Source organism: Homo sapiens, chromosome 10, assembly GCF_000001405.40.
Source record: "Homo sapiens chromosome 10, GRCh38.p14 Primary Assembly".
NCBI classification, from domain to species: Eukaryota; Metazoa; Chordata; class Mammalia; order Primates; family Hominidae; genus Homo; species Homo sapiens.
Genome location: NC_000010.11, coordinates 96,887,154 through 96,913,593, shown reverse-complemented (window position 1 = coordinate 96,913,593; position 26,440 = coordinate 96,887,154). Strand labels below are relative to the sequence as shown.

The 26,440-nt window shown below is 37.1% G+C and overlaps 1 protein-coding gene across 4 annotated transcripts in view; it reads right to left on the bottom strand.

Moving 5' to 3' along the window:
- LCOR (ligand dependent nuclear receptor corepressor) overlaps nucleotides 1-26,440 on the bottom strand; it is a 163,659-nt gene that overhangs the window by 82,363 nt on the left and 54,856 nt on the right. For all 4 annotated transcript variants that reach the window (NM_001346516.2, NM_001170765.2, NM_001170766.2 and 1 more), the window contains exons 3-4: nucleotides 6,264-6,329; nucleotides 5,847-5,926 (exon numbers count right to left, since the gene is read on the bottom strand). The gene's annotated coding sequence lies outside the window, so the exon portion shown is untranslated. The remainder of the gene's footprint in view (nucleotides 1-5,846; nucleotides 5,927-6,263; nucleotides 6,330-26,440) is intronic.

Genomic DNA, 26,440 nt, shown 5'->3' with positions numbered 1-26,440 from the left:
TACTAAACTTACTTTAGTCTTAAACCTAAGTGCATAAACTAATTTTATATTTTGGTATAACATCCTACTCTCCCATCATCCTTAGTGAATCATCCATGTTATCTGTACTTTACAAACAGCCATCTCTATCCCAGCCATACACAAGAACAGACTGATCACTGAAGCAGTCCGTTTTTAGGAATTAACTACTAAAAGTAATTTCTCATCCTTCCCATCTCTCCCCGACCCTCTCACTACTACTGGATTAGCTCTTCATACTATCAACATATCTGTAATCAAAAAATCTCAGTGGATGGTTTTTCACTGATATATAAAATAACATAGCTACACATGTATTTTAGTAAACATACATGTTTCAAAGCAATGACACTCTAGTACCAAGAGTACATACACCTAGTACCGACACCTTGAATTCTTACACAGTTCTCTGATTAAAAGGAACTAGAGTTTTTTGGAGAAATCCAGGGCCGGGACAGGGAAAGTACATGTTAAGACTGGAACATCTTTTAATGCCAAAAAGTGAAAAAAAAAAAGTGCTTTAAAAAAAAGAAAGATGTCAAAAAGGACACAACAGCCAACTCCAAAGGGCCCTAAATGGCCTAGGATAATTTGAACTGCTAAGTAAACAAGGACTGTAATGAATTATAATCCACAGAATGAAATAAGAATCCATGAATTCGTACTGATATATTAAAACAACAACATAGGGAGAAAAGAGAAGTTCTTCCTTACAGTAGAATTCCAACTCATAAATGTAGAAGAAATTATGGAAATAGAAAATCATTTGGTCAACACCACAGTAATTTTTTTTCAGGCAATGTTCATCAATGGATGCTAAAATTAGTGCATGAAAAACTAGTATAATTAAAAAAAAGAAGATATTTACAAAACCTCAAAGTACCTCCCCCAACAATGTAGCCATTAACTACAAAAAGGAAAAAGAAGGAAAGGAAGGAAGGAAGGAAGGAAGGAAGGAAGGAAGGAAGAAAGGAAGAAAGGAAGATCTTACAGAAAAGAGGCAGACAGCACCTTAACTAAGTGATCAAAGTAAACATCACCACGTGCTTTCTGACATGATGCACGAAGAATGATACAACATCAGTCAGACTGTAATCCTGGACTGGATCTTGGACCAGATAAAGGACACTAGTGGGATAACTGGCAAATTCGCAAAGGTTTGCAGATTATACTATTGTATCATTGTTAATTTCCTGAACTTATAATTGTACTGTGGTTACATAACATGCTAACATTTGGAGAATCTGGTTAAAGAATATACGGGAATTCCTTTTACAATTTTTGCAATTGCTTTATAAGGCTAAAATTAATTTAAAAATTTGAAGCTTAAAGAAAGGTTAAAGAAGGCCGGGTGCAGTGGCTCACACCTGTTATCACACTTTGGGAGGCCGAGGCGGGTGGATTGCCTGAAGTCAGGAGTTTGAGACCATCCTGACCAACATGGTGAAACCCCGCCTCTACTAAAAATACAAAAAAATTAGCTGGGCGTGGTGGCATGTGTCTGTAATAACAGCTACTCGGGAGACTGAGGTAGGGGAACTGCTTGAACCAGGGAGGTGGAGGGTGCAGTGAGCCGAGATCATGCCTCTGTACTGCAGCCTGCGCAACAGTGAGACTCCATCTCACAAAAAAAAAGAAAGAAAGAAAAGAAAAGCCTCATGAATAAGCAGTACACAGAGAATTGTGTATAAATGTAAACACTCAAAACAGCTATTATAATTTTCCAAGTTTATTAAGCTTCCTGACTTCTTAGTCACTCATTTAATAAATATTTTAGAGTGCCTACTTTATGCCCATAAAACAGAAAATGGGAGGAAGGAAAGAAGTAAGCAGGTAACTGAGGCAGTCAGGCAGTCAGTCAGTCAGTCACTCACAGATTCCTAACATAGCTAGAATTGGTCATTTCAAATACACTTTCCCTCTTTCCAACTGAGAAATTTCCAACTGAGGATTCCCTCCCTCTTTCCAACTGAATTCCAAGACCTACTTAATTCTTGCTCTCCACTTTCCATGTTCCTGCTCCTACTGTTATCAAAATGCATCTAAAAACATGGATCAAATCCCAGCTATGTAATTTTGCCCATAACTGAACATCTCTGACCCTTTCCTTTTCTTTATTTATAAAACTAGGATGCCTTTAATCAACTTTATAGGATTGTTTTGAAGATTAAATAGGAGTGGCAGGGCGTGGTGGCTCACGCTGTAATCCCAGCACTCTGGGAGGCTGAGGCGAGTGGATCACTTGAGGTCAGGGGTTCAAGACCAGCCTGGCCAACACGGTAAAACCCTGTCTCTACTAAAAATACAAAACTTAGCTGGGCGTGTTGGTGCACGCCTGTAGTTCCAGCTACTCAGGAGGCTAAGGCATGAGAATCGCTTGAACCCAGGAGGTAGAGGCTGCAGTGAGCCAAGATGACACCACTGCACCCCAGCCTGGGCAACAGAGCAAGACCCTGTCTCAAAAAAAAAAAAAAAAAAAAAAGGGAACATGTAAAAATAACTGGCACATAGTAGATGCTCAGAACATGTTAGTTGCCTTTCCCTTACAATTACATTCTCTAACTTCTGCGCGATCCTGAAGTGCAGTTCAAAAATTTTTACTAATCTCTAGGTGAATCCCTGTTCTACTTCCCAAAGAGGCTACTTCGTATTTTTCACCTACGTGTTTTTAAAGGTAAATATAAATAATGTATTTGCTTTATCCATTCTACAGAGTTAGTATTTACTGAAAATCCAACTAGCTAAAAGTATGCATAGCTGCTGCTTCCCAAATATCAGGTCAATATTTCTAAGTGCTTTTCCAAATACTACCTAGATTATCTCACCATGCCAATCTCAAACTCAAGATCCAGTACCATGCTCTATGCTGCCACCTATTGGCTATTACCATATTCTCCAGATAGTTCTTTCTATTTTAGAATCTTAAGCCAGCCTTAAAATGCAAGCCTCAGTCCAACGGATATAATACATTTCCAAAAAACAAAACAAAAAAAATACTTAATTTCCAGACTCTAGTCCTTCTCGGACAAGATGCTCCAAGTGACTGCAAAGAGTTCCAATATAAACACTTTAAGTCTAACACAACTAAAGAAATACTGTAAATCTGACAATTCACATGATATAGGCTTTCTCTTTTACTATTTTCCATTACAGATGTATGACTGTCTCCGAAAATAATAAATGCCAAAGACAGGATATAGTATCTAACGGAGAAAAATAGCTTTCCCAGAACCAGCTGAGCTGTCAAATGGAAAAATTATTTCTATTTAGAAAACCAACTAAAAACTGTAGAACTACAAACAGTAAAACAGTTGTTTTAAGTGCTTCACCATTTCATGACTTTCTCTATCTGTATTTTCTTCTAAAAATATTCACACAAGCTGGGTATGGTGGCATGTACCTGTAGTCCTAGCTACTTGGAAGGTTGAAGAAGCAGGATCACTTAAGTCCAGCCTGGGCAACACAGTGATACCCTGTCTCTTAAAAAAAATTCATACAATATTTTACCCTCATACAGCAAAGGAAAACTCTCAATCATATTACAAGAATATACTATATACAACTACCAAGCATAGAATGGCTCTCTTCCTCATCCTAACCTGAAAAAAAAATTAGTAACTGTTTCTTCTTTTTATTTTTCAAAAATTCCTATTAAATGGCTTGCTCAATAAAGAGCCACCAGAGACACACACACACACACAGAGTTTAAAATTATGAACTTCAATTTCACTGGAAGTTTAACTCAAAACAATGTTGCTTTCTTTTCTAGTCTCTCTTTTTGGAGCCAGATTAAATTTTAAAACACGTTCTTCCTCAATTCAACAAAAACAGACCATTCCAAATAGAGCAACAACTTTTTCATGTAGAAAACAAGAAAAAGAAGCCATACAAGAAGAACATGAAAAAGCACTTATGTTGGCTACACGTTGGCTTTCAAATTTTAAAGCAACTTGCCAACACAGATAAATAGTGATACAATGGTTATATGCAGGGGTACAAGGAAGCATACAGCATGGTCTGTCTAGTTTTTAGCAGTTGACAATGTAGTAAGGAACAAAAGATTCAAATATGAAAAAGGATGAACAAAATAAGGCAGAATATTAACTGACAAGTAATTGGCACAGATAATATTGACAACAGTGTGAAAGGCTGAAACAGCAATAGAAGCAGAGGAACGATGGGGCTTAAGAGTAAAAACAAAGGAATTTCTAGCTATAGAGAAATAGCTTAGTTGAAAGAAAACTGTATAGAAGACAAGTGGGATATCATTAGAAAGAAAAGTGGTTAAAATGTGGAGGGTACTGAGGCACTGTTAGGCTAATGAATCCAGAAGACAATGAGAAAGTCATCAAAGGCTAAGTATAAGGTAACATTTCTACACCATTTGAGGGGTGAGGGTTGGGAGGAGTTTAACCTTGTAGGAATATTTAAGAGACTGAAGAAGACTAAGAGAGAACTATAGTAATGATTGTGGAAATGAAAAAAAATGAAATTCGTTGTGAGGGAAAAACTGATAAAATCTGGTCAATGATTTAAGTTAAGAGTGTATAGGACAGAAGAAGGCCGGGCGCGGTGGCTCACGCCTGTAATCCTAGCACTTTGGGAGGCCGAGGCGGGCGGATCACAAGGTCAGGAGATCGAGACCATCCTGGCTAACACAGTGAAACCCCGTCTCTACTAAAAATACAAAAAATTAGCCGGGCGAGGTGGCGGGCGCCTGTAGTCCCAGCTACTCGTGAGGCTGAGGCAGGAGAATGGCGTAAACCCGGAGGGGGGAGCCTGCAGTGAGCAGAGATCGCGCCACTGCACTCCAGCCTGGATGACAGAGTGAGACTCCATCTCAAAAAAAAAAGAGTGTATACGGCAGAAGAAAGCATTTTCAAGGCTTTAAAACAGGGAATGGATGTACCATGAAAAAAAAAAGTAGTAAACCACTATTAATAAATGTTTCCAACAAGTGAAATGTTTTCTAACAAAATTCTGTTTATGTTTAAAACAAAGCAATAAAACAACAAATACACAAAGGTTCACCCAGTTTATACAATTAAAAATAATAGCATTCATGCCCAGATATTATGAAGAAGTGTCTTAAAGTAGAAACCATAGTATATCATCATCTACATGAATTAGTAACTGCTTGATCCAGATCTACATTACTGTTCTTTTTGTACTAAAAATAACTCCCATTACTTGAATTACCACACATTTCATTTTTTAAATAAACACAACAGTTTGAGACAATTAATTATTCTGCCTAGTGAACTATATAAATAAAACAATGCATGGGCTGGGCGCGGTGGCTCATGCCTGTAATTCCAGCTCTTTGGGAGGCTGAGGCAGGAGATCACTTGAGGTTAGGAGTTCAAGACCAGCCTGCCCAATATGATAAAACCCTATCTCTACTACAAATACAAAAATTAGCTGGTGTGGTGGCAGGTGCCTGTAATCCCAGCTGCTCGGGACTGAGGCAGGAGAATCGCTTGAACCCAGGAGGCGGCGGCTGCAGTGAGCAGAGATCGTGCCATTTCACTCCAGCCTGGGCATCACAGAGAGACTCCGTCTCAAAATAAAAAAAAAACAAAAAAGCAAAAAAACAAAATAACAACAATAAATGCATGGTAGGATATAGGTTTCTTAATAGGCTAATCAACAGGATGGAAATAACTTAAATTGCAAAACCCAGGATTACTATCAAACTCTTTCATAACTAAGTATGAAACCATACCTTCCTTTTCCTACAAATCCTCCAACAAAGTAACACAATGTTTTAAAAGATGAAAACTTTAAAATACTACACTAAATAAAAGTTTCACAGGCTTCTTAGTTACCTTTACTTTATCTCTTCTCAAGCAACAGAATAAACAGTTTTCATCAAAAGTCCAATCAGAAATGCTTTCAGGTTCACAGTCTGCAAAAATAGTAACAAATTAATAGTCATAAAAGAGAATTTTTAGGAAAATAAATTAGAATTAATTTCAAAAATATTGTTTAACAAAAAACTAAGTAGTTAGGCCATATTTGTCTTAAAAATTTTAACTCTTAAATTCTTAAGTCTTAACTGCTCACTAGTTAATACATTATTCATACATATATTAACAATATCAACTAAACACAAAAAGATGCTTACATGAATATAGCTTTAACCCACATGAAACCGTGAATAAAAAGGAGACTGAGGCTTAAAACACCAACGTATCATGTATGGCACCAGGAAGAATTTGAAATACCAAAAATATTTTGAATACCTTTAAATAAACTGAGATCTTTTAATAATGCAGGTCCAAACAGCCCTTCAAGAATACTTTCAAACCCTGAAAGGATAAAAACAAAATCCATTACCACAATAATATTCATTCTAGTATTGAATAATCTTTGCATAAAAAAAAAAAGATGGTGTTTTCTTCCAGTTCTCAAGGATCCTGGATTACTACTGAAGGGATGCTTAGAAAAAGAGTGTCAATGACAAATCTAAAAGGAGCATTTGCATTTCTGTCAATGATTAACATTCAACACAAATTCTGAGCACATTCAAGAACAAGACCAATGAAGGAATGGAAATTCACAGGTTTTCTCACCATTTTACAAAATCCCAAACACCTCTTTGTACAAACTCTCAGGCTCCATTTTAAAAGGTACTTTTCTCAATGAATGAGTCAAAAACTGCTTCAAAATTTCCACAACTTTCTAAAATAATCTAAATAGCATTTTTCAAAATACCAGTTGAGACAACAGATTTTGAGTTAAGTTTATGAAATATTTACTGAGAAAAACTACATCACACAAACACAAGGTGCAAGACTTTTGTAAAGAAGGTACAAGACTTTTAAAAGACTTTTGTAAGTATTTAACATTGCCACAATAACTATGTACTGGTTCCTTTATAAACGTAAACCCCACTGATTGTACATACAAAAAAAAGAGAAAAAAATCAAATATACTTGTACACAAATGTTTAAATTATTATGTCCTTCTACCAGTGTGAAAAAAGTAGAAAATGAAAAAATCAAAAACTTTTTTTCTGGCTTATTATCTCAAATACTGATGGATCTACTGAATAATTTAAAAATATCTTTGCCATCTTGCAATTTCTTATGGGTCAAGAGAGTAAGGAGGAAAACAAGAGCAGGAATCAGACTGTATCTTTATACAACATACCAGAAATAACAGATTAAAGCAGTGGTTCCCAAAATGTTTGCCATGGACCTCACCGGGAACTCAAATGGTTATTACAAACAAGGAGTCTATGAATCCATATGCACTCTCAGTGCGGCCTCGAAATTAACGTCTTGTGCATTCAGTATACATACTACTTTTCAAAGGCATAGGATTACTGCAATAAAGTAAATATAAAAAGTGTTACTGAATTCCTAGTAGCTAGGGGCACTGTGTATTTTGCCACATAATCTGTCACCTAGGGGTTTGCGATTTAATTGTTAAAAAGCACTCCCATGCTTAAAAGATAAGGTACCCCTTAATTTAAAATACTATATCCTGCCGGACACATAAGGCCCCCTCACATGTATCAATTTTTGACCACAAATACAACCACAGAAAAGGATTTAGAAGGTAAGGGGGTAGAAATGATGGCCTCTGAAAATGGCATTTTGTTTATCTGGCTATAAGAAGAAGAAGATGGTAATGTAAGGGATTTCTTTGCCTTGGTATTAAGCCATAATTTTCAGTAATCTCTAGTTTGTGTTATTTACACTGTAATTAGAGAGCTGGTTTTTCTATACTATATGATATATCCTAGATTCCAGATTTTTTATTTATTGTTAGGGAGCAATTGTTTTTCAACTCTCTTTAATTCCCATCAAGATTATTCCAAGGACATTAACAAAATCAAACTACCCACTCAAACAAATGGGAGGTATCTATGTCTATTATTTACCTACTAAAATTAAAATATATTCCACTAAATTGCTATGGTCCCCTCTCTTCCACACTAGGGAGGAAAAAGGGTTGGGGTAGGGCTGTGGGGGTGGGGAGGTAGTGATAAGAGAAGAGAAGAAAATGCTAGATACTGCCTATTTTGGCCCTGGAGATCAGATATTTTCAGAACGATCTGACTTAAAAAAATAAATAAATCCCACAGCCTATCTCCAATTCTTAAAGCCCCCCTACCTGCCCTCCCAAAAGAAAATCTGATTTCACAAATAATAAAGTATTTCAACACCTTGCAAGCATCAAATACACAACGCAAATAGCTAAAGGAAATTATTAAGTAGGTCTTATCCTGAAGAGCAAATCTAATATTCTTTCACCTGGGTTTATATAAAATTGTAACAAATTCCAAATTTTCGGGCTGAGCGTAAATTCTTGAAAAGGAAAAAAGTAAATATAGCAAGAAATAATGCCAGGAAAGAAAAATGCAAATGAAAGCTTTGGGAGATAAAAATTTTAAAGAAGAACAGAATCTGACATAAGAAAATTGGGCAGAAGATCAATAATACTAACAAAAATTTGAGTCACAGATGAAAAAGCAATGACAAAGAACAAAAGCAAACAAAAAAAATCTGGTTATAAACACAAAGATTTAATCACAACTAATTTTGCTCAAAATAGCAACTGTAAACAAGTCACTCCTCTTTTGCTCATATCTGCAACAATACATTAAACCTAACAAATATTATTGATTAGATACTGTAAAGTCGTATTTTGCTACCCTCTGTTCACTGGATGTTAATGCCACTCAGTTTTATTAATACTAAATATTGAATTTAGCAGTTGCATAGCAACAGGGAATGTCTGACGTGCTATGCTTGACATTAATGAAAGGCAAATAAGCGAAGAACAAATATATTCAAAATGTATACCATGATATCACAGAAAAGCCAGAAAGATCAATAACAAAATGCCATGGAAAACTAAATACTGAAAAAGACAGCCATGCCGTTATGTTCAATCACTAAGGCTTAAAAACTACCTTTACATATCACATATAAAGAAAAATTATTTATTTTATCGAAGTTGACTACTTTTGAAAGAATTCCTATCCAACATCACAACTAGTCTCAAGGTTGAGCTCTAGTTTCTTCTTCACTGCAACCTGCACCATGTCTTCAGGCTATTCCTAAAACACTGCTTCAATGATGCCACCACCTCTTCAAAGTTCACACTGGTTAAAGAACAAACCCCAAATTCCAAATTCGGCAATCAAAACTGCTTATAATTTGACCCTACCTACTGTTAGCTGGCTTACTTACCAGACCTTTCCTGCTCATTCCTACAGCTCTGGTCAGGATGGTCTTCTGTTGTGTTCAGTGATCATTCCTACCTCCTAACATTTTCTGAAGCCTCTGCATCTCACCTTTGCTAAAATATAGTATCTCTCTCCTTCAAGATAACTCTTCACATTGTTCAACAAATACATATTAATTTATTCGACATACACTAACTGAGAGTCTATCATCTGCCAGGGACTGTTCAACAGGCAGTGTTGAGCTGCCATGTTACCTGCCCTCATGAATCTTCAGTTTCCAGTTCTCTCATCCTCAGAATTCTCAAGACTGTTGCTTGATTTTAAATAAAAGTCAGTTGCCTAATGTCTTCTCTGCTTTCTGCCATTTACAAAACACTGTCTTTTCAAGTATTTTGTAAAATAAAATTTGTCACAGGCTATCTAAACACTATGTTCTCATTTTTCTTTTATTCATTTATGTCTTATCTCCTCAAGGAGAATTAATGCTCCAGGAAGGCTAGAAAGCAATGTTTCTCTTATAGGAACAATGTTTCTCTCACAGAAAGGCTTCACATGCCTGATTAGCTTCCGATTTAATCACACAGCTCTCGAAAACAGAAGATAGAAGACTAAAATCTCCCACAAATTTCCCCCTTCAATCTAAATCACAATCCATTTCCAACGAAAAGGGGGAAAACAGGTTATAAAAAGTAACAGAATAGGAATATATCAAATACAAAGCTAACTAAGGTCAGCAATATAGCCTGTTCTTTTGGAAAAAAATTAACAGAATGAAAAAACGGTTCCTGGGTCTTGGGAACCTCTCCTCTGAGATAACCAGTACAGAGACTAGTAGTTTCAGAGAGGTGCTGAAGGAAATGCAGGAATATATCAGAAAATGAGCAATTTTTACATCAAGGCCCCTGGATCTTGTATGCAAGCTTGTACTGAGCTTGGTGCTCAGTCTTCAATAAAGTACAATCACATGCCACACAACGATGTTTTAGTCAAGGATGGACTGCATATACCACGGTAGTCCCATAAAATTATAACGGAGCTGAAAAATTCCTACTGCTTGGTGATTACAGCCATTGTAATGTTGGACTGCAATTACTTTATTCCTAAGTAAATTTAGTGTAGCCTAAGTGTACAGTATTTATAAGTCTACAGTAGCGTACAGCAACATTCTAGGCCTTCTTGTTCCCTTACCACTTACTCACTGACTCACTCAGAGCAACTTCCAGTCCTGCACTCTCCATTTATGGTAAGTGCCCTATCCACGTGTGACAATTTTTACTGTACCTTTTCTATGTTTAGATACACAAATACTTACCACTGTGTGACAATGATATTGTGTGACAATGGTGGTATTTCCTACAGTATTCAGTACAGTAATGTGCTGTACAGATTTGCAGGCTAGCAGCAACAGGCTATACCAAATAGCCTAGGTATGTAGTAGGCTATATTATCTAGGTTTGTGTAAGTATACTTTACGATGTTTGAAAAATGATGAAACTGCCTAAGGATGCACTTCTCATAATGCAACCCCATTGTTAAGCAACACATGACTGTATTATATTTTACAAAGTATCAGTTCAAAGGTGCTTGCTGGCAATAATAATCAATTAGTGTCCTAATAAACAAAGAGGGGAATGATATTATCTGGAGTTGTTTGCTTAAAAGTCAGGATGTGTGACTTGATGCCACCACCACACTGAGCCTTCATACGAAGTCAGTCACAAAGTGAAAGTATTGGGTTGGTGCAATAGTAATTGTGGTAATAATTTTAGAACACTAGATTATACAATCTTTTATATTCTATCCCAGGTAATTAAGGTAATCAATTCTTTTTAATTGACATTCCAACTATCTCAGCATGTTATTAAATCAAAGATCAAATGAACTTCTATAGATAATGAGCAATGACCATTCAGGCTTCTCTTCCCCTTACTATCCCTGGTGATTCCTTTCATTATTAGAGAACTACATTCATTAATAATTCTTCCTCTCCTCCTGAGCACATTCTCCCAGATGATGCACTATGATGAACCCTATTTGTTGGCTCACTTACCACTCTCAGAATTACCCAGCACAAGAACTGATGACAAAACCTAGCCAGATATACCAAAGAGAAGTAACACTTTAATCACGACTAATGGCCCAAAATGAAACAGAATTAATGAAGACAAAACAGCAGCACTTGAAGACAAATTATAAATAGTATTTTTATTGAGGCCAGGGAGAAATAGTATTTTTTTTTTTTAAGAGCAAAGAGCTCTGAATAAAATAGCAGAGAACAAATGCTTGGGGGGAGGAGAAAAACTACTAAAATTACCAAATAGAATTAAGTAGAGAAATACACAACAAAGTAGTGATTTAGAAAATTAACTTAAGAAATGTCCTACTATCAGTATGGACAACATGGTAAAACTCCGTCTCTATAAAAAAGTACAAAAAATTAGCCCAGGGTGGTGGCACACACCTGTAGTCCCAACTACCCGGGAGGCTGACGTGGTAAGATCACTTGAACCCAGGAGGTGTAAGGTGCAGTGAGCCGAGATTGCGCCACCGCACTCCAGCCAGGGCAACAGAGCGAGACCATTGAAAGAAGGTGGACCGATGGACAGATGGAGGAACGGATGGAAGGAAGGAAGGAAGAAATGGCCTAATATTGTATAGTGAAGTGTCAAAGACACATACATAATGAGAAAAAGATTAGAGATGAGGTGGCCAGACGTGCAGTATCTGTAAAATAGGATTTTTAGAGCAAGAAAAGGCAAAGAATGAACGTTTTAAAAATTTAGAAGGAAACAAAAACTTCCTAATGTTGATTACTGACTTGAGTCTTCTTATCTAATGGGCTCCATGAAATACTGGGGCAGCACTAGGGGGTTGGAGGGGAAGCTACACATGTAGACTCTCCTGGTAAAATATCTGAATTTCAACAATAAAAATTTACAAGCTCCAAATATGGAAAATATTTCACTTAATTTTACTTAAAATAAGAGGAAAGAGATTTAGACTACCAGTCATTTCACTGGTAAATGTAAATGCTAAACATGTATGGAGAGCTGGGAATGGTATGTGGTGACACACACCTGCAGTCCCAGTTACTTGGGAAGCTTAAGTGGAAGGACTGCTTGAGTCCAGGGGTTTGACCTGGGCAACATGAGGAGACCCCATCTCTTTTTATTTTATTATTTTTTTTTTGAGACGGAGTCTCTGTCGCCCAGGCTGGAGTGCAGTGGCGTGATCTTGGCTCACTGCAAGCTCCGCCTCCCGGGTTCATGCCATTCTGCTGCCTCAGCCTCCCGAGTAGCTGCGACTATAGGCGCCCGCCACCACGCCTGACTAATTTTTTGTATTTTTAGTGGAGGCGGGGTTTCACTGTGTTAGCCACGATGGTCTCGATCTCCTGAACTCGTGATCCGCCCGCCTTGGCCTCCCAAAGTGCTGGGATTACAGGTGTGAGCCACTGCGCCCGGCCGACCCCATCTCTTAAAACAGAAAAAAGAAAAAAAAAAAAAAGCCTACGAAGCAGTGTTTACAAAATTCTAGAGGAAAAATGAAGACAATGTGTTGCTTATGAATATTGATAAAAGACATTTATAGATATTCTCTGATTTGGGAAGTAGAACAGCCATTCACTCTGGGGGGTAAGGGTTACTCAAAGTAGTTCCATTAAGAAAAATATGATTGGGAATAATGATCTCCTGAAAAGGGAAAAGACTGTTTATATAAAAACTAATGGCAGGCTGCTATAAATACCTTGTCTTTTGATCTCTAATATGTTGTCAGTCTTCATTTTCATACTATTTTTGTTTCTTTTATTCCTTGATTGATCCTATCAGTTTCTTTTTTAGTTTTTTTCTTTTAAAAACCTACTTTGACTTTTTTGTTCTTCTCTATTATATCATTGATTTCATTAAATTTTGCTTTAATTTTTTTCAATTATCCATTTCTTTGGGTTTATTCTATTGCATTTTTGTCTAACTCGTAAGAGATTCATTTACTTATTTTCAGGTTTCTTTTTTTAAAAAAAGAATCAAGTATAGGATGACTTAAAAGAACTAAAATTTTAATTATTGTATATTAAGAGGTAATCTGTGATAAACAAAATGTGGTATATCCATACAATGGAATAAAATTATAATATGGATGAATAAGCCTCAAAACACATTGTGTTAGGTGAAAAAAGGACAGAAACAAAAGACCACATACTATGAGTCCATTGATATAAAATGTACTGAAAAGGCAAATCTATAGATAGAAGAAAGTACATTAGTGGTTTCCTATGGCTGAATGAAAATGAAAAAATAATTGCAAATGGGCAACACATTTCTTTTTGTATTAAGGGAAATATTCTAAAATTAGATGGTGGTGATGGTTGCATAATTCTGTGACTATAATAAAAATCGGTGAACTGCACACTTAAAATAGGTGAATTGTAAGGTATGTAAATTATGTCTCAATAAAGCTGTTTACAAAACAGGTACTCTATGCCTGTTTGGTAAAAATTTGTAATGTTTTAAGAAAATCTGGCCTATTAGAGCCAGCCTTGTAATTCTAATTTAAAATGTATAATTGAACAGCTGATTTAGACTTATGATTTTAAGCCGAAATTTTACTAAGTTTGCATCCTGTATAAGAATACTCACAAAACTTAAGGATGTTTATATTTACAATTTTAAATTATTAGATTTACAAGATTTATTTAAGTATCTAAGGTTTTATTAATCAATATTTACAGAGAAAATAAATTTAATTTATACTTACAGATTTAAATGTTTTAAGAAGTTAAATTAAGATATTTATCAAAAGTTTGTTAAAATTAGTTACAGAATAAGATCTGTATTTAGAGAGAACCAGGTTTTAAGTTTATAAATTTAAATAAAGTGAACATTTAAAAATTAAAAATCAAAATAACTATGCATTACCTTTTCTATTCACAAAGCCATCAAGAATATTATTTTTTAAATCTCACATTTAATAAGAATTAATCAAGTGTTTACATAGAGCTCAGCAGTGTGGGGATACAGGGGTTATGTTTAAAAATATGCCCTGCCGTTAAGATATTTATAATTCTAGTCAAGGAATCAAAATTAACATGCTTTCCCACTACTATGCAGATACTTATAACTCTCCAATCCTTTATCTCTTGCCCTAAGACCAAATTTCTAATTTCCTACTTCATATTATCACCAAAATCTCCTAAATACCTAAAAATGCCCACCAAATCAAAATCATTTTACTCCTTTCCTTCATCTCAATCATAGATTTCGTCTATATTCTGTATTCATTACTAAGAAAATGGCATCACGAACACCTTCCCCCCAAGTTATTCAGGTTAAATAGAGACCTCGGTTAGTCACAATTCTATTCTTTCCATAAATCACCAAGTATTCCGGTCATTGAGTCCTATTCATTTTACTTCAGAAAGATTCCTCCCAATCTGTTCTCTCTTTTCCATCCCTAAATTCAGGTTTTCACTATCTCTTATCTTAACAATTATAATAAATGTCACTCATGTTGATAATAATGACAGTTATCATTAACTGCACCCTTATTTGGTATCAGGCAAGCACTATAGCAGGTGCTTCATGCCCATAACAAAATATTCAAAGGAATACTGTAAAACAAGCACTATTACTACCCAGAATGTGTAAAACAAAACAAAACAAACAACCCTGAAAATCAAAGCAGCTAATTCGTTCCAAACTGCAAAGGCCAATATCTAGATTTAAAACCATTCCTGTGATTCTAAAGCCCAGGCTCTTTTCATTTCATCACACCACCTATTAATAACATCTCTTAATTTTTAATTTATCTTAGTATTCTCCCACACCACCATCTCTACCACCAGAATCCACCCTTCATGCTGCTGCTAAACATCATCCTTTCTAGGTTTTAAAAACATTTGATAGCTTTCCACTGACAATAGTGAAGATTTCAATTTCTGGATGCCATGCATGATCATTATAGGATCTGATCCCAAATTATCTTTTCAGTCTCTCCTGCTACCATATTCTGTATACATACACTATGCTCTGGCCATACTGATCAGTCACAACACATACTGTCAATGCTTCCACGCCACTTGAGCACAATATGTCGTCAGCCTACAATGTTCTTCCTGCAACCCTCAATCTAATTCTAAGGTATCCCCATCTCACCCCATAAGCCCCAGGCAAAGTTAGGAACATCCTCATCAGTACTCAAGTTGTACTATTTATATACCTTTTTTTGGTATTTAATCCGCTAGATTTTCAGCAAAGAACTGGAGTTTATTCATCTTTTAACATCACCCTATACTTTGAACTACCATCCTCAAGTAAGTGCTCAATAAATATTTGTTGGATGAATGCAAACACACTCTTTTTAATTCCTACATCATTATAATTAACTGAGAGGTTGGAGATTTTACAAGGACTCTGTTTTATGTGTCAGGCAAGCTAAAGACTTGAAAAAATAGAAATAAAACAGAAGGGTAACAGATATCTGACCAAACAAAAAAAAAAAAAAAAAAAAGATGGCTTTCTGCTCCAGCTCAACTAAGTTCTCTGTATCTATAGACTAAAACCAGAACATAATTAAGGGCTCTTTTTGCTGGCCCACAAACAGCTTTTGCTGGCCCACAAACAGCAGCAAACTTTTTTTGCGGAAAGCTGTAATCATAGTGAAGATAGAAATAAAACAAAAAAGATAAAGTCCTGAAAAACAATAGTATTAATACATTAAGGAGGGAAAAGAAAGATATACTGAGTAGTTAGAACATTATCAGAATACAGTATTTACATACATAATGCCATAAACAAGATTCAAAGGTATTAAATAAGTTACCAAAATCACAGAGGTAGTGAGTAGCTAGGTCAGATTAAGTCTTTGGAAATCCAGGGGCAGTTCTGTTTCATTTTTTCTAGTATATCAAACTGTCTAGGTTAATCATGCTTAGAAAGAAACCATTTAAATGCAAATCTGAGGTTGATCAGGAATGAGTCAATTACATCAGTTCACAATCCATAGGCCACAATCCGTTTGAAGACCTCTGTCATTACAAGGTCAGTAAATTCATATGAGCACTGTTTGTAAATCAAATAAAAATGTGCTTGCAGATACAGCCACTAACTACTCTTTTTTAACACACCCTGCTACAAACAATAACATATGTATTCATTTAAAAAGCATTACTGAATCCATAATATCTTTTTTACATCACATTTTTTCTCAAAGATACCAAAACTACAAATTACACTGTGAGAGGTAAGCATTCTTTTGGGTTTTTTTTTTTTTTTTGCTTTTCTTTCTCTTTCTCTTTCTCTTTCTCTCTCTCTCTCTCTCTCTCATTCCTTGGGAATAATGGAGTTAACTAAGTAAAAACAAAATTATAAGCTGAATGATTTCCTTCACTTTAGGTAAAATGGAAATTTCTATAGTTGAAAGAACAGAGATAAAAACTAAACTTTGAAAGTTCTTAGGGTTGGAAAGGTGGGGCTTCCTTTTCTATCCCTTCCCATCCTCTCCCTATTCCTTTGTCCATTTACTCTCTTCTTTCCAGAGTTAGCCCCAACCTAGACCTAGCATGCTTGCGGGAGCTTTATACTATTAGGAGATTCATTTACTATCTTCAGTGTGTGGATCTCAATAACTCTAGATTGTTTTAAAATTACTTTGGGCCGAGTATCATGGCTCATGTCTGTAATCCCAGCACTTTGGAAGGGCAGGGCGGGTGGATCACCTGAGGTCAGGAGTTCAAGACCAGCCTGGCCAACATGGTAAAACCCCATCTCTATTAAAAATACAAAAATTAGCTAGGCTTCGTGGTGTGTGCCTGTAGTCCCAGCTACTTGGGAGGCTGAGGCGGGAGAATCGCTTGAGCCTGGGTGGTGGAGGCTGCACTGAGCCAAGATGATGCCACTGCACTTTAGTCTGGGCAACACAGCAAGAATCTGTCTCAAAAAAACAAATGGTAATAATAATAATAATAAATAAAACTAATAAAATTACTTTGCAAGTAATTTACTGAAAAGAAAATAAATTAAAATTTCTCATATTTTCCCCCATTCCTCACAAGCAGTCAACTCTATTTGAGGTATGTATGTCAGTCTAATACATTTGTGAATAAAAAAAGTCAATGACATAAGGTATGACTATACGGTAATAGTGAGATCCCTCCTCAACCCACACGCCTCTAAATACCAGAAATGTCAGTAACATCCATATAAGTGCTACTGTACAAAGCAGCGAAGACAGCATTTAGAGAGCCGAGAAAAAAATTATCTAGGAGGCAAGATTTTTTTTTCTTTTTAGTTTTTAGAGACAGAGTCTCTTTCTGTTGCCCAGGCTGGGTTGTAATGGCACAATCACAGCACACTGTAACCTCAAACTCCTGGGGTCAAGCAATCCTCCTGCCTCAGCCTCCTGAGCAGCTTGGACTACAGGCATGCATCACAACAGCTAGTTAATTTTTAAATTTTTCTTCAGACAGAGTCTTGCTATGTTGCCCAGGCTGGTCTCAAACTCCTGGTCTCAAGCGATCCTTCTGCCTTGGCCTCCCAAAACACTGGGATTACAGGCAAAGGAGGTAACATTTCTGAGCACTCAATGAAGTGAGGGAACAAGCCATATGGAGACACATGAATGTTCTAGGCAGAGTGAACAGCACTGAGGTAGTTAAGGTATGAAGTACGGTATATTGAGAATTAGCAAGAAAGCAGGCATGGTCAGCAAGGTGATTTAAGATGGGAAGTACAAGATAAGGTAAGAGATTTAGAGGTATGATCATACAGTCCACGGTGAGGAGACTGGATTTTGAATTTTAACAGAAATCCACTTAAGTTTTATATCTGGGTAGTGGTAGAGATAAAACAATTAGATATATATTGTTTAAGATTACCAGGTAGCTGTAGAGAACAGATTATTAGATAAAGCATTAGGAGACTATTATGACAACAGCCTTGGCAAGAGATAGGGGTAGCAATGGCGGTAGAGGGTAGTGACCCCATAGAGGGTATACATCAAACATAAAACCAACTTGCTTGATGATGTGCCGATGTGGAATGTGAGGGAAAATGACACTTACACTTTTGGTCTGTGAACTGAGTAAATGGTAGTGTAACTTTCTAGGATGGAGAAGACTGGAGGGTAAATGTTTGGCAGACAGAGATCTAGTTCACTTTGGGGATAAGTCTGAGATGCTACTTAGAAATCAAAGTAGATCTATGAAGAAGGCAATTGGATAGGTGACTTTGAAGTTAAAAGGGAGACACTGAGATGGGGCAATATAAAATTGGGAATCAGTAAAGTACAGACAGAATTTAAAGCTTTAGAACTAGATAAGATCATATTAAGTTAAGGAAAGGAAGCAACAGGACCAAATACTGGAGCATTCCAATGTTTAAAGATTAGAAAGAAAAAGAGACTGAAAATTAAGGTCAGGTCTTTTTTACTGTTCTATCTTTACCATCTAGCAAACAACTTGATGGTAAGTACTCAAAAAATACTAGCTGATCTGAACTATTATATATGGCACTGTTATTGAAATAAAGACATATCTTAACCCACTCCAAATGTCATCCGAGGATTCTGAAAGGAAACAGGTTCCTTTTAATGTAATCAAACACATCTAAATATATCTAATTTATATATTTTAAAAATCATTACTTTTTACCACACTTCTAACACATCATAATATATGGCAGTACAAAAGATAAACCCTCAGTCTGGCCCCAATTGAAGGATATATTAGAAAATTTTAAACTGTACCAATGTTTGAATCAGCTTTCAGATTTATATACAAAATTCTTAATAGTTCTCCCCTGCTCAAAAAGGTTCAATGATTAGCTACTGCCTGCATAATAAAATTCAAACTGCTTAGTCTGGCTTTCAAATTCTTCCAAAAGTGAACCTTTTCAACACTCCTTTTCAATGCCTTTCAATAACAATCTGCTTCTCAAGTAGGCCTTGATTTTCTTTGTCTTGATCCCTCTCTTCACCTTGCTCCTTCTAAAATGTACTCTCAGGCCGGATGCGGTGGCTCATGCCTATAATCCCAGCACTTTGGGAGGCCAAGGTGGTCGGATCACGTGGTCAAGAAATTGAGACATGGTGAAATCCCACCTCTACTAAAAATGCAAATTTTAGCTGGGCGTGGTGGCATGTGCCTGTAGTCCCAGCTGCTCGGGAGGCTGACACAGGAGAATGGTGTGGACCCAGGAGGCGGAGGTTGCAGTGAGCTGAGATCATGCCACCGCACTCCAGCCTGGGTGACAGAGCGAGACTCCATTACAAAAAATAAATAAATAAAATTCTCTCAAATATCAATAGTCTTGATCCTACGTGGTCTTCAAGGCCATAGTTCAAAAGTCCCTTCCAGCTGTTATCTTTCCTCCCAAATGATTCCCAGTATCTTTCACTTTATTTTTCCTTCATTTTCAACATGAATGCACATTTTATGTATCCAACTGAATTTTACATTCACTGTTGTAGTGTAATAGAAGGAGTACTACAACTCTAGGAAGTAAGAGATGTAGTGGTTAAGAATATGAATTACGAAGCCAGGTCACCTGGGTTCAAATATCTGATTCTCTTTTAAAAGCTCTATAACCTTGGACAATTTCTTTTTTTTTTTTTTTTGAAACAGAGTCTTGCTCTGTCACCCAGGCTGGAGTGTAGTGGCGCGATCTTGGCTTACTGCAACCTCCACCTCCAGGGTTCAAGCAATTCTCCTGCCTCAGCCTCCCGAGTAGCTGGGACTACAGATGCCCACCACCATGCCCAGTTAGTTTTTGTATTTTTAGTAGAGACCGGGTTTCGCCATATTGGCCAGGCTGGTCTAGAACTCCTGACCTTGTGATCTGCCTGCATCGGCCTCCCAAAGTGCTGGGATTACAGGTGTGAGCCACTGTGCCTGGCCATACCTTGGACAATTTGTCTTCTTCACACCTCACTTTCCTTGGCTATAAATTTATAACGTGATTAGACAAGTATTTGTAAATTATTTAGAATAGTATCTGAAAGCATATTAGAGATATTATATTATAAAGTGTTAGGAAGCAAAGAAGGCAGAGAGGTTATGTTTTCAGTTTGTTAATGCCTCTTTTGTTCCCTATATGACTTAAAAGACTACATACAACAATAATTATAACTCTGTGTTGATGGACAAACAATGCATAAAGATTTATTGGAGGGGGGAGAGCTATGTAGCAGCAAAGTATTTTATATACTATTGAAACCAAGTTGTTATTAATTCAAAATAGACTGCTACAAATGAAGGTGTTAATTATAATCCCCAGGACAAACACCAAGAAAATAACTATTATGTAGTAAAATAAATGAGAAGGGAATCAAAATGGTACACTAGAAAATATGTAACACAAAAATCAGTCATGGAGGGCTTGAACAAAACTGATATAAGACAGACAGAAAGAAATATAAAATGGGAAATGTTCCTCCTTATCAGCAATTATATTACATGTAAATGGAGTAAAGCCTCCAATTAATAGGCAGAGATGGGCAGAATTAATTTAAAAAGCATTATCCAACAATATTCTGTACACAAGACATTTGCTTTAGATCCAAAGACACAAAGAGGTTGAAGGTGAAAGAAAAGAAAAAGCCCATGCGAACAGCAACCAAAAAAGAAATGGAGTGGCTATACTAGTATCAGACAAAATAGGCACTGCGATGGTCTAACTGTTGGAGTCCCCCCAAAAATTCATATGTTGAAATCCTATCACCTCCAAGGTGATAGGATTAAGAAGTGGGGCCTTTGGAAGGTGATTAAGAAAATAAGGGCAGTGTCCTCATAAATGGGATTAGTGCCCTTATAAAAGAGGCACCAAGAGAGATCCCTCATCCTTTTGTCATGTGAGAACATAGCAAAAAGACAGTCATCCATGAACCAGAAAGCGGCACCTCACCATACCAAATCTGTCTGTGTCTTGATCTTGAACTTCCCAGCCTCCAGAACTGTGAGAAATAATTTTTTTTATAAGCCACTTAGGCAGCCCAAGTGGACTAAGAAAGGCATTAAGACAAAACTACTTAAAAAGACAAAGGACATTATATAATGATAAGAGTCAATCAAGAACATTTAAGAATTAAAAACATATATGCCCCTAACAACACAGCCCCAAATTCTATGAAGCAAAAATTGACAGACTTGAAGGAAGAAATGGCTCAACAATAATAGCTAGAGACTTCAACACCCTACTTTCAATAATGGGTGGTACAACTAAGCAAAAGATACATAAGGAAAAAGAAGACTTAAACAACACCGTTAGGCAACTAGACCTAAAAGACATATGCAGAACACTCCAACCAACACGAGCAGAATACACATTCTTTTCAAGTGCACTGGAACATCCTCTAGGGCAACACGTTAGACCACAAAAAAACTTGCCGTAAATTTCAAAAGACTGAAATCACACAAAGTATCTTTTCCAACCACAATGCAATGAAGTTAGAAATCACTAACAGGAAAACTGAAAAATTTGCAAATATGTGGAAATTAAACAATACATTCTTAAATAGTTACTCAAAAAAGTAACTACAGGCTAGGTGTGGTGGCTCACACCTGTAATCCCAGCACTATGGGAGGCCGAGGCAGGTGATCACCTGAGGTCAGGCGTTCGCAACTAGCCTGGCCAACATGGTAAAAACCTGTCTCTAACTAAAAATACAAAAATTAGTTGGACGTGGTGGCGTGCACCTGTAATCCCAGCTACTCAGGAGGCTGAGACAGGAGAACTGCTTGAACCTGGGAGGCAGAAGTTGCAGTGAACAGAAATGACACCACTGCACTCCAGTGTGGGCGACAGAGACCCTGTCTCAAAAAAAAAAAAAAAAAAAAAAAAAAAAAAAAAAGAGTCAAGACAGAGTAAGACCCTGTCTCAAAAAAAAAAAAAAAAAAAAGAGTCAGAAAAATCAGTATCAATGAACCCAAAATTTCTCGGAAAAAATCAATATTGACAAACCTTTAACTAGACAGACCAAGAAAAAAGAAGAGAGAAGATTCAATTTACTAAAATCAGGAATAAAACTGGGGACATCTTTACAATCTTATAGAAACAGGAAGGATTACAAGAGAATACCATGAACTATTGTATGCCAACAAATTAGATAATCTAGATGAATGGATAAACCTCTAGAAACTACCAAAACTGACTCAACTAAAAAACTGAAAAGACCTATAACAAGTATGAAAACTGTAATAAAACTTCCAACAAAAAAAACCCCAGGACCATATGGCTTCATTGGTGAATCCTACCAAACATTTAAAGAAGAACACCAATCCTTCCTTCAACTCTTCCAAAAAAAGAGAAAAGGGATGAATACTTCCAAACTCATCCCATAAATCTAGTATTACCCTGATAGCAAAGACAGACATCATCATAAGGAAACTACAGACCAATCTCCCTCACGAATAGAGATGCAAGAATCCTCAAGAAAATACTAGCAAACAAAATTTAGCAGCATATGACCATCCATCATGGAATTATCCCAGAGATGCAAGGCTGGTTCAACATACAAAAATCAATCAGTTGAAAAAAAGTCACCATATTAACAGAATAAAGCGGGGAAAAGAGAAACCTGATCATCTCAGTTGACATAGGAAAAGCACTGGACAAAGTCCAACACCTTTTCATGATAAAAACGCTCAACAATCTAGGAATAGAAAGGAGCTTTTTCATAACCCTGGTTATGAAACAGCTAACATACTCAATAGCAAAATACTGAAAGCTTTCCCCTAATATCAAAAATAAGGCAAGGATGTCTGCTCTTACCATTTCTACTCAACATTGTCTAGAAGTTCTAGCAAGGGTGGTTAGAAAAAAGAAAAAGAAATAAAAGGCATCCAAATTGGAAAGACCAAGTAAAACTACTTTTATAGATGACATGATTTTATATATACATAATTCTAAAGAATCTTTCAAAACACCACCATTAACCTAATAAACAGGTTCAGCAAGGTTGTAGAATACAAGATTAGCATAAGAAAATCAGTTTTAGGCTGGGCAGGGGTGACTCACACTTACAGTCCTAGTGCTTTGGGGAAGTAGAGGTGAGAAGATTGCTTGAGGCCAGGAGTTTGAAATCAGCCTGCACAACACAGCCAGACCCCTTCTCTACAAAATATCTTAAAGGTTAGCCAGATGTGGTACGTAGTCCTAGACTGAGGTGAGAGGATCACTTCACTCCAGGAGTTCAAAGTTACACTGAACTAGGATCATGCCACTGCACTCCAGCTTGGGCGACACAGCGAGACTCCATCTCAAACAAAACAAAACAAAACAAAAAAACTACACGCATACAAAGAAAATAACGAGTGCTGGTAAAGGAAGTGAAGAAATGGGAGCCCTCACACATTGCTGGTGGGAATGCAAAACGGCGCAGATGCTCTGGAAAACAAGTTAGGTGTTTCTCAAAAAGTTAAAAATAGAATTACCAAATGACCCAGCATTCCACTCCTAAGTATATACTCAAGAGAAATGAAAACAGGTGTTCAAACAAAAAGTCATACATGAATGTTCACAGCAGTATTGAACAGCAGCATTATTCATAATAACCTGACAGCGGAAACACTCAAATGTCCACCAACTAAAGAGTGGATAAACAAAATGGAGTACAGCCATCCAATGGAATATTATTCAACCATAAAAAAGAACTGTTAAGGACTCAAAGTTTATGTCACTCCCAAAATTCATGTTAACGCCCTAACCCCAGTGTGGCTGTATTTGGAGATGAGGTCTCTAAGGAAGCAACAAAGATGAAATGAGGTCAGAAGGGTGGGTCCCTGATCTGACAGAATTAGTGTCCTTGTTAGGACAGAAACCAGAGAAGGTGCACACACGCTCGAGATCACTTGTGCTACCTCCCTGCATGAGCACAGAGAAACGGCTGTGTGGGGTTAAAGTGAGAAGGTAGCTACCTACAAGCCAGGAGGAGAGGCCTCAGCAGAAACCAACACTGCCGGACCTTGATCTGTACTTCCAGCCTTCAGAACTATAAGAAATAAGTATCTGTGGTTCAAGCCACTAAGCCTGTGGTATTTTGGTTATGGCAACCTGAGCTGACAACATGAATGAATACTGATACGTACAACATGGATGAACTTCAAAAATATGCTAAATGAAAGCCAGACACAAAAGGCCATATATTGTATGATTCCATTTATATGAAATGTCCAGAACAGGAAAATTCACAGACATAAAGGATATTATGGAGGAAATATGGAAATGGAAGTGACTATGTAATAGGTATGGTCTATCTTTTGGGAGGTGATCAAAATGCTATACAATTAGATAGTGGTAATGGTTGTACAACACTTTGAATATACTAAAAGCTCCTGAATTATACACACCTTAAAATGGCTCAAATGGTGAATTTTAGTTTTTTAAAATGGAGTGAAATAACGGAAGATACAACTTGGATTACTCTCAAATACATGTTGAGTGAATGAAGCCAGTCTCAAATGGTTACACAGTGTATGATTCCATTTATATGACATTCTCTAAAAAACATAACTATAGCAAATGAATGGATCAGAGGCTGCCAGAGGTTTTGGGTGGGGCAATTAGAAAAGACAGCACAGGGAACTTCTTGAGGTCATGAAACTATTCTGTTTCTTAGTTGTGGTGTTGGGTATATAAATTTATACATGAGGTAAAATTCATACAACTGTACACAAAAATGGTCAGTTTTACTACAACTTAATTTAAAAAATAAAATTTCTCCTACAAAAAAAATCCATCAGTCTATTTTGCACTTGACCAATGTTTATTTGTAACATCATTACTGGTCATTTGGAAAGCATTAATTCACTGAGGTATGTGCATTTTCCATCACACAATGTAACACCAAAAAAAAATTACATTTGTTAATATCACTACTGATCCTATCAGAAAGGTCTTTTAAGGGAAGTTCTCATGCCCGCAGTAGTGGATTTAAGTTTTCCAATATTCTAATTTTTCTTGGAAGCTGAAATTGACAATATATACTGTTCTTTTTTTTTTTTTTTTTTTTTTTTTTTTGAGACGGAGTCTTGCTCTGTCACCCAGGCTAGAGTGCAGTGGCATGATCTGGCTCACTGCAACCTCCGCCCACCGGGTTCAAGCGATTCTCCTGCCTCAGCCTCCTGAGTAGCTGGGATTACAGGCGGCCACCACCAGGCCTGGCGAATTTTTGTATTTTTAGTAGAGACAGGGTTTCATCATGTTGGCCAGGCTGGTCTCGAACTCCTAACCTCATGATCCGCCAACCTCGGCCTCCCAAAGTGCTGGGATTACAGGCGTGAGCCACCACACCTAGCCCACTTCATTCATTTTTAAGACAATGTTTGCTAAATACTGAAATCTGAATAACCACAGTTTGTCAGATATTCTTCCAAGTAAAATGGTATTCTACGAAAAAAGTAGGCCAGGTGTGGTGGTTCATGCCTGTAATCCCAGCACTTTGGGAGGTTGAGGCAGGTGGATCACCTGGATTCATGAGTTCAAGACCAGCCTGGCCAACATGGTGAAACGCTGTCTGTACTAAAAATACAAAAATTAGCTGGGTGTGGTGGTGAATGCCTGTAATCACAGCTACTCGGGAGGCTGAGGCAGAAGAATTACTTGAACCCAGGAGGCAGAGGTTGCAGTGAGCTGAGATGGCGCCATTGCACTATAGCCTGGGTGAGAGTAAAACTCCGTCTCAATTAAAAAAAAAAAAAAAGTAGCTAGTTTAGCTTGCAACTCAATCACATAAGTGCTTTTATGCATATTTTCCATTGCATTGCATAGAATATTAAGGAGACCCAAGGCTCATGATTAAGTAGTATTTTTTTTTTTTTTGAGACGGAGTCTCACTCTGTTGCCCAGGCTGGAGTGCAGTGGCGTGATCTTGGCTCACTGCAGGCTCTGCCTCCCAGGTTCACGCCATTCTCCTGCCTCAGCCTCCCAAGTAGCTGGGACTACAGGCGCCCGCCACGACGCCCGGCTAATTTTTTGTATTTTTAGTAGAGACGGGGTTTCACCATGTTAGGATGGTCTCGATCTCCTGACCTCGTGATCCACCCACCTCGGCCTCCCAAAGTGCTGGGATTACAAGCGTGAGCCACCATGCCCGGCCAAAGTAGTATATTTTCACTGTTTCATTGTGGGCATTCTTAGGTAAAACTGGCACATGCTCTGAGTGCAAGGCAGTGAAAGACTATAATATCTACTATAAAAGTTTGGTGCCACTGTCTTAATTTGTGGACCA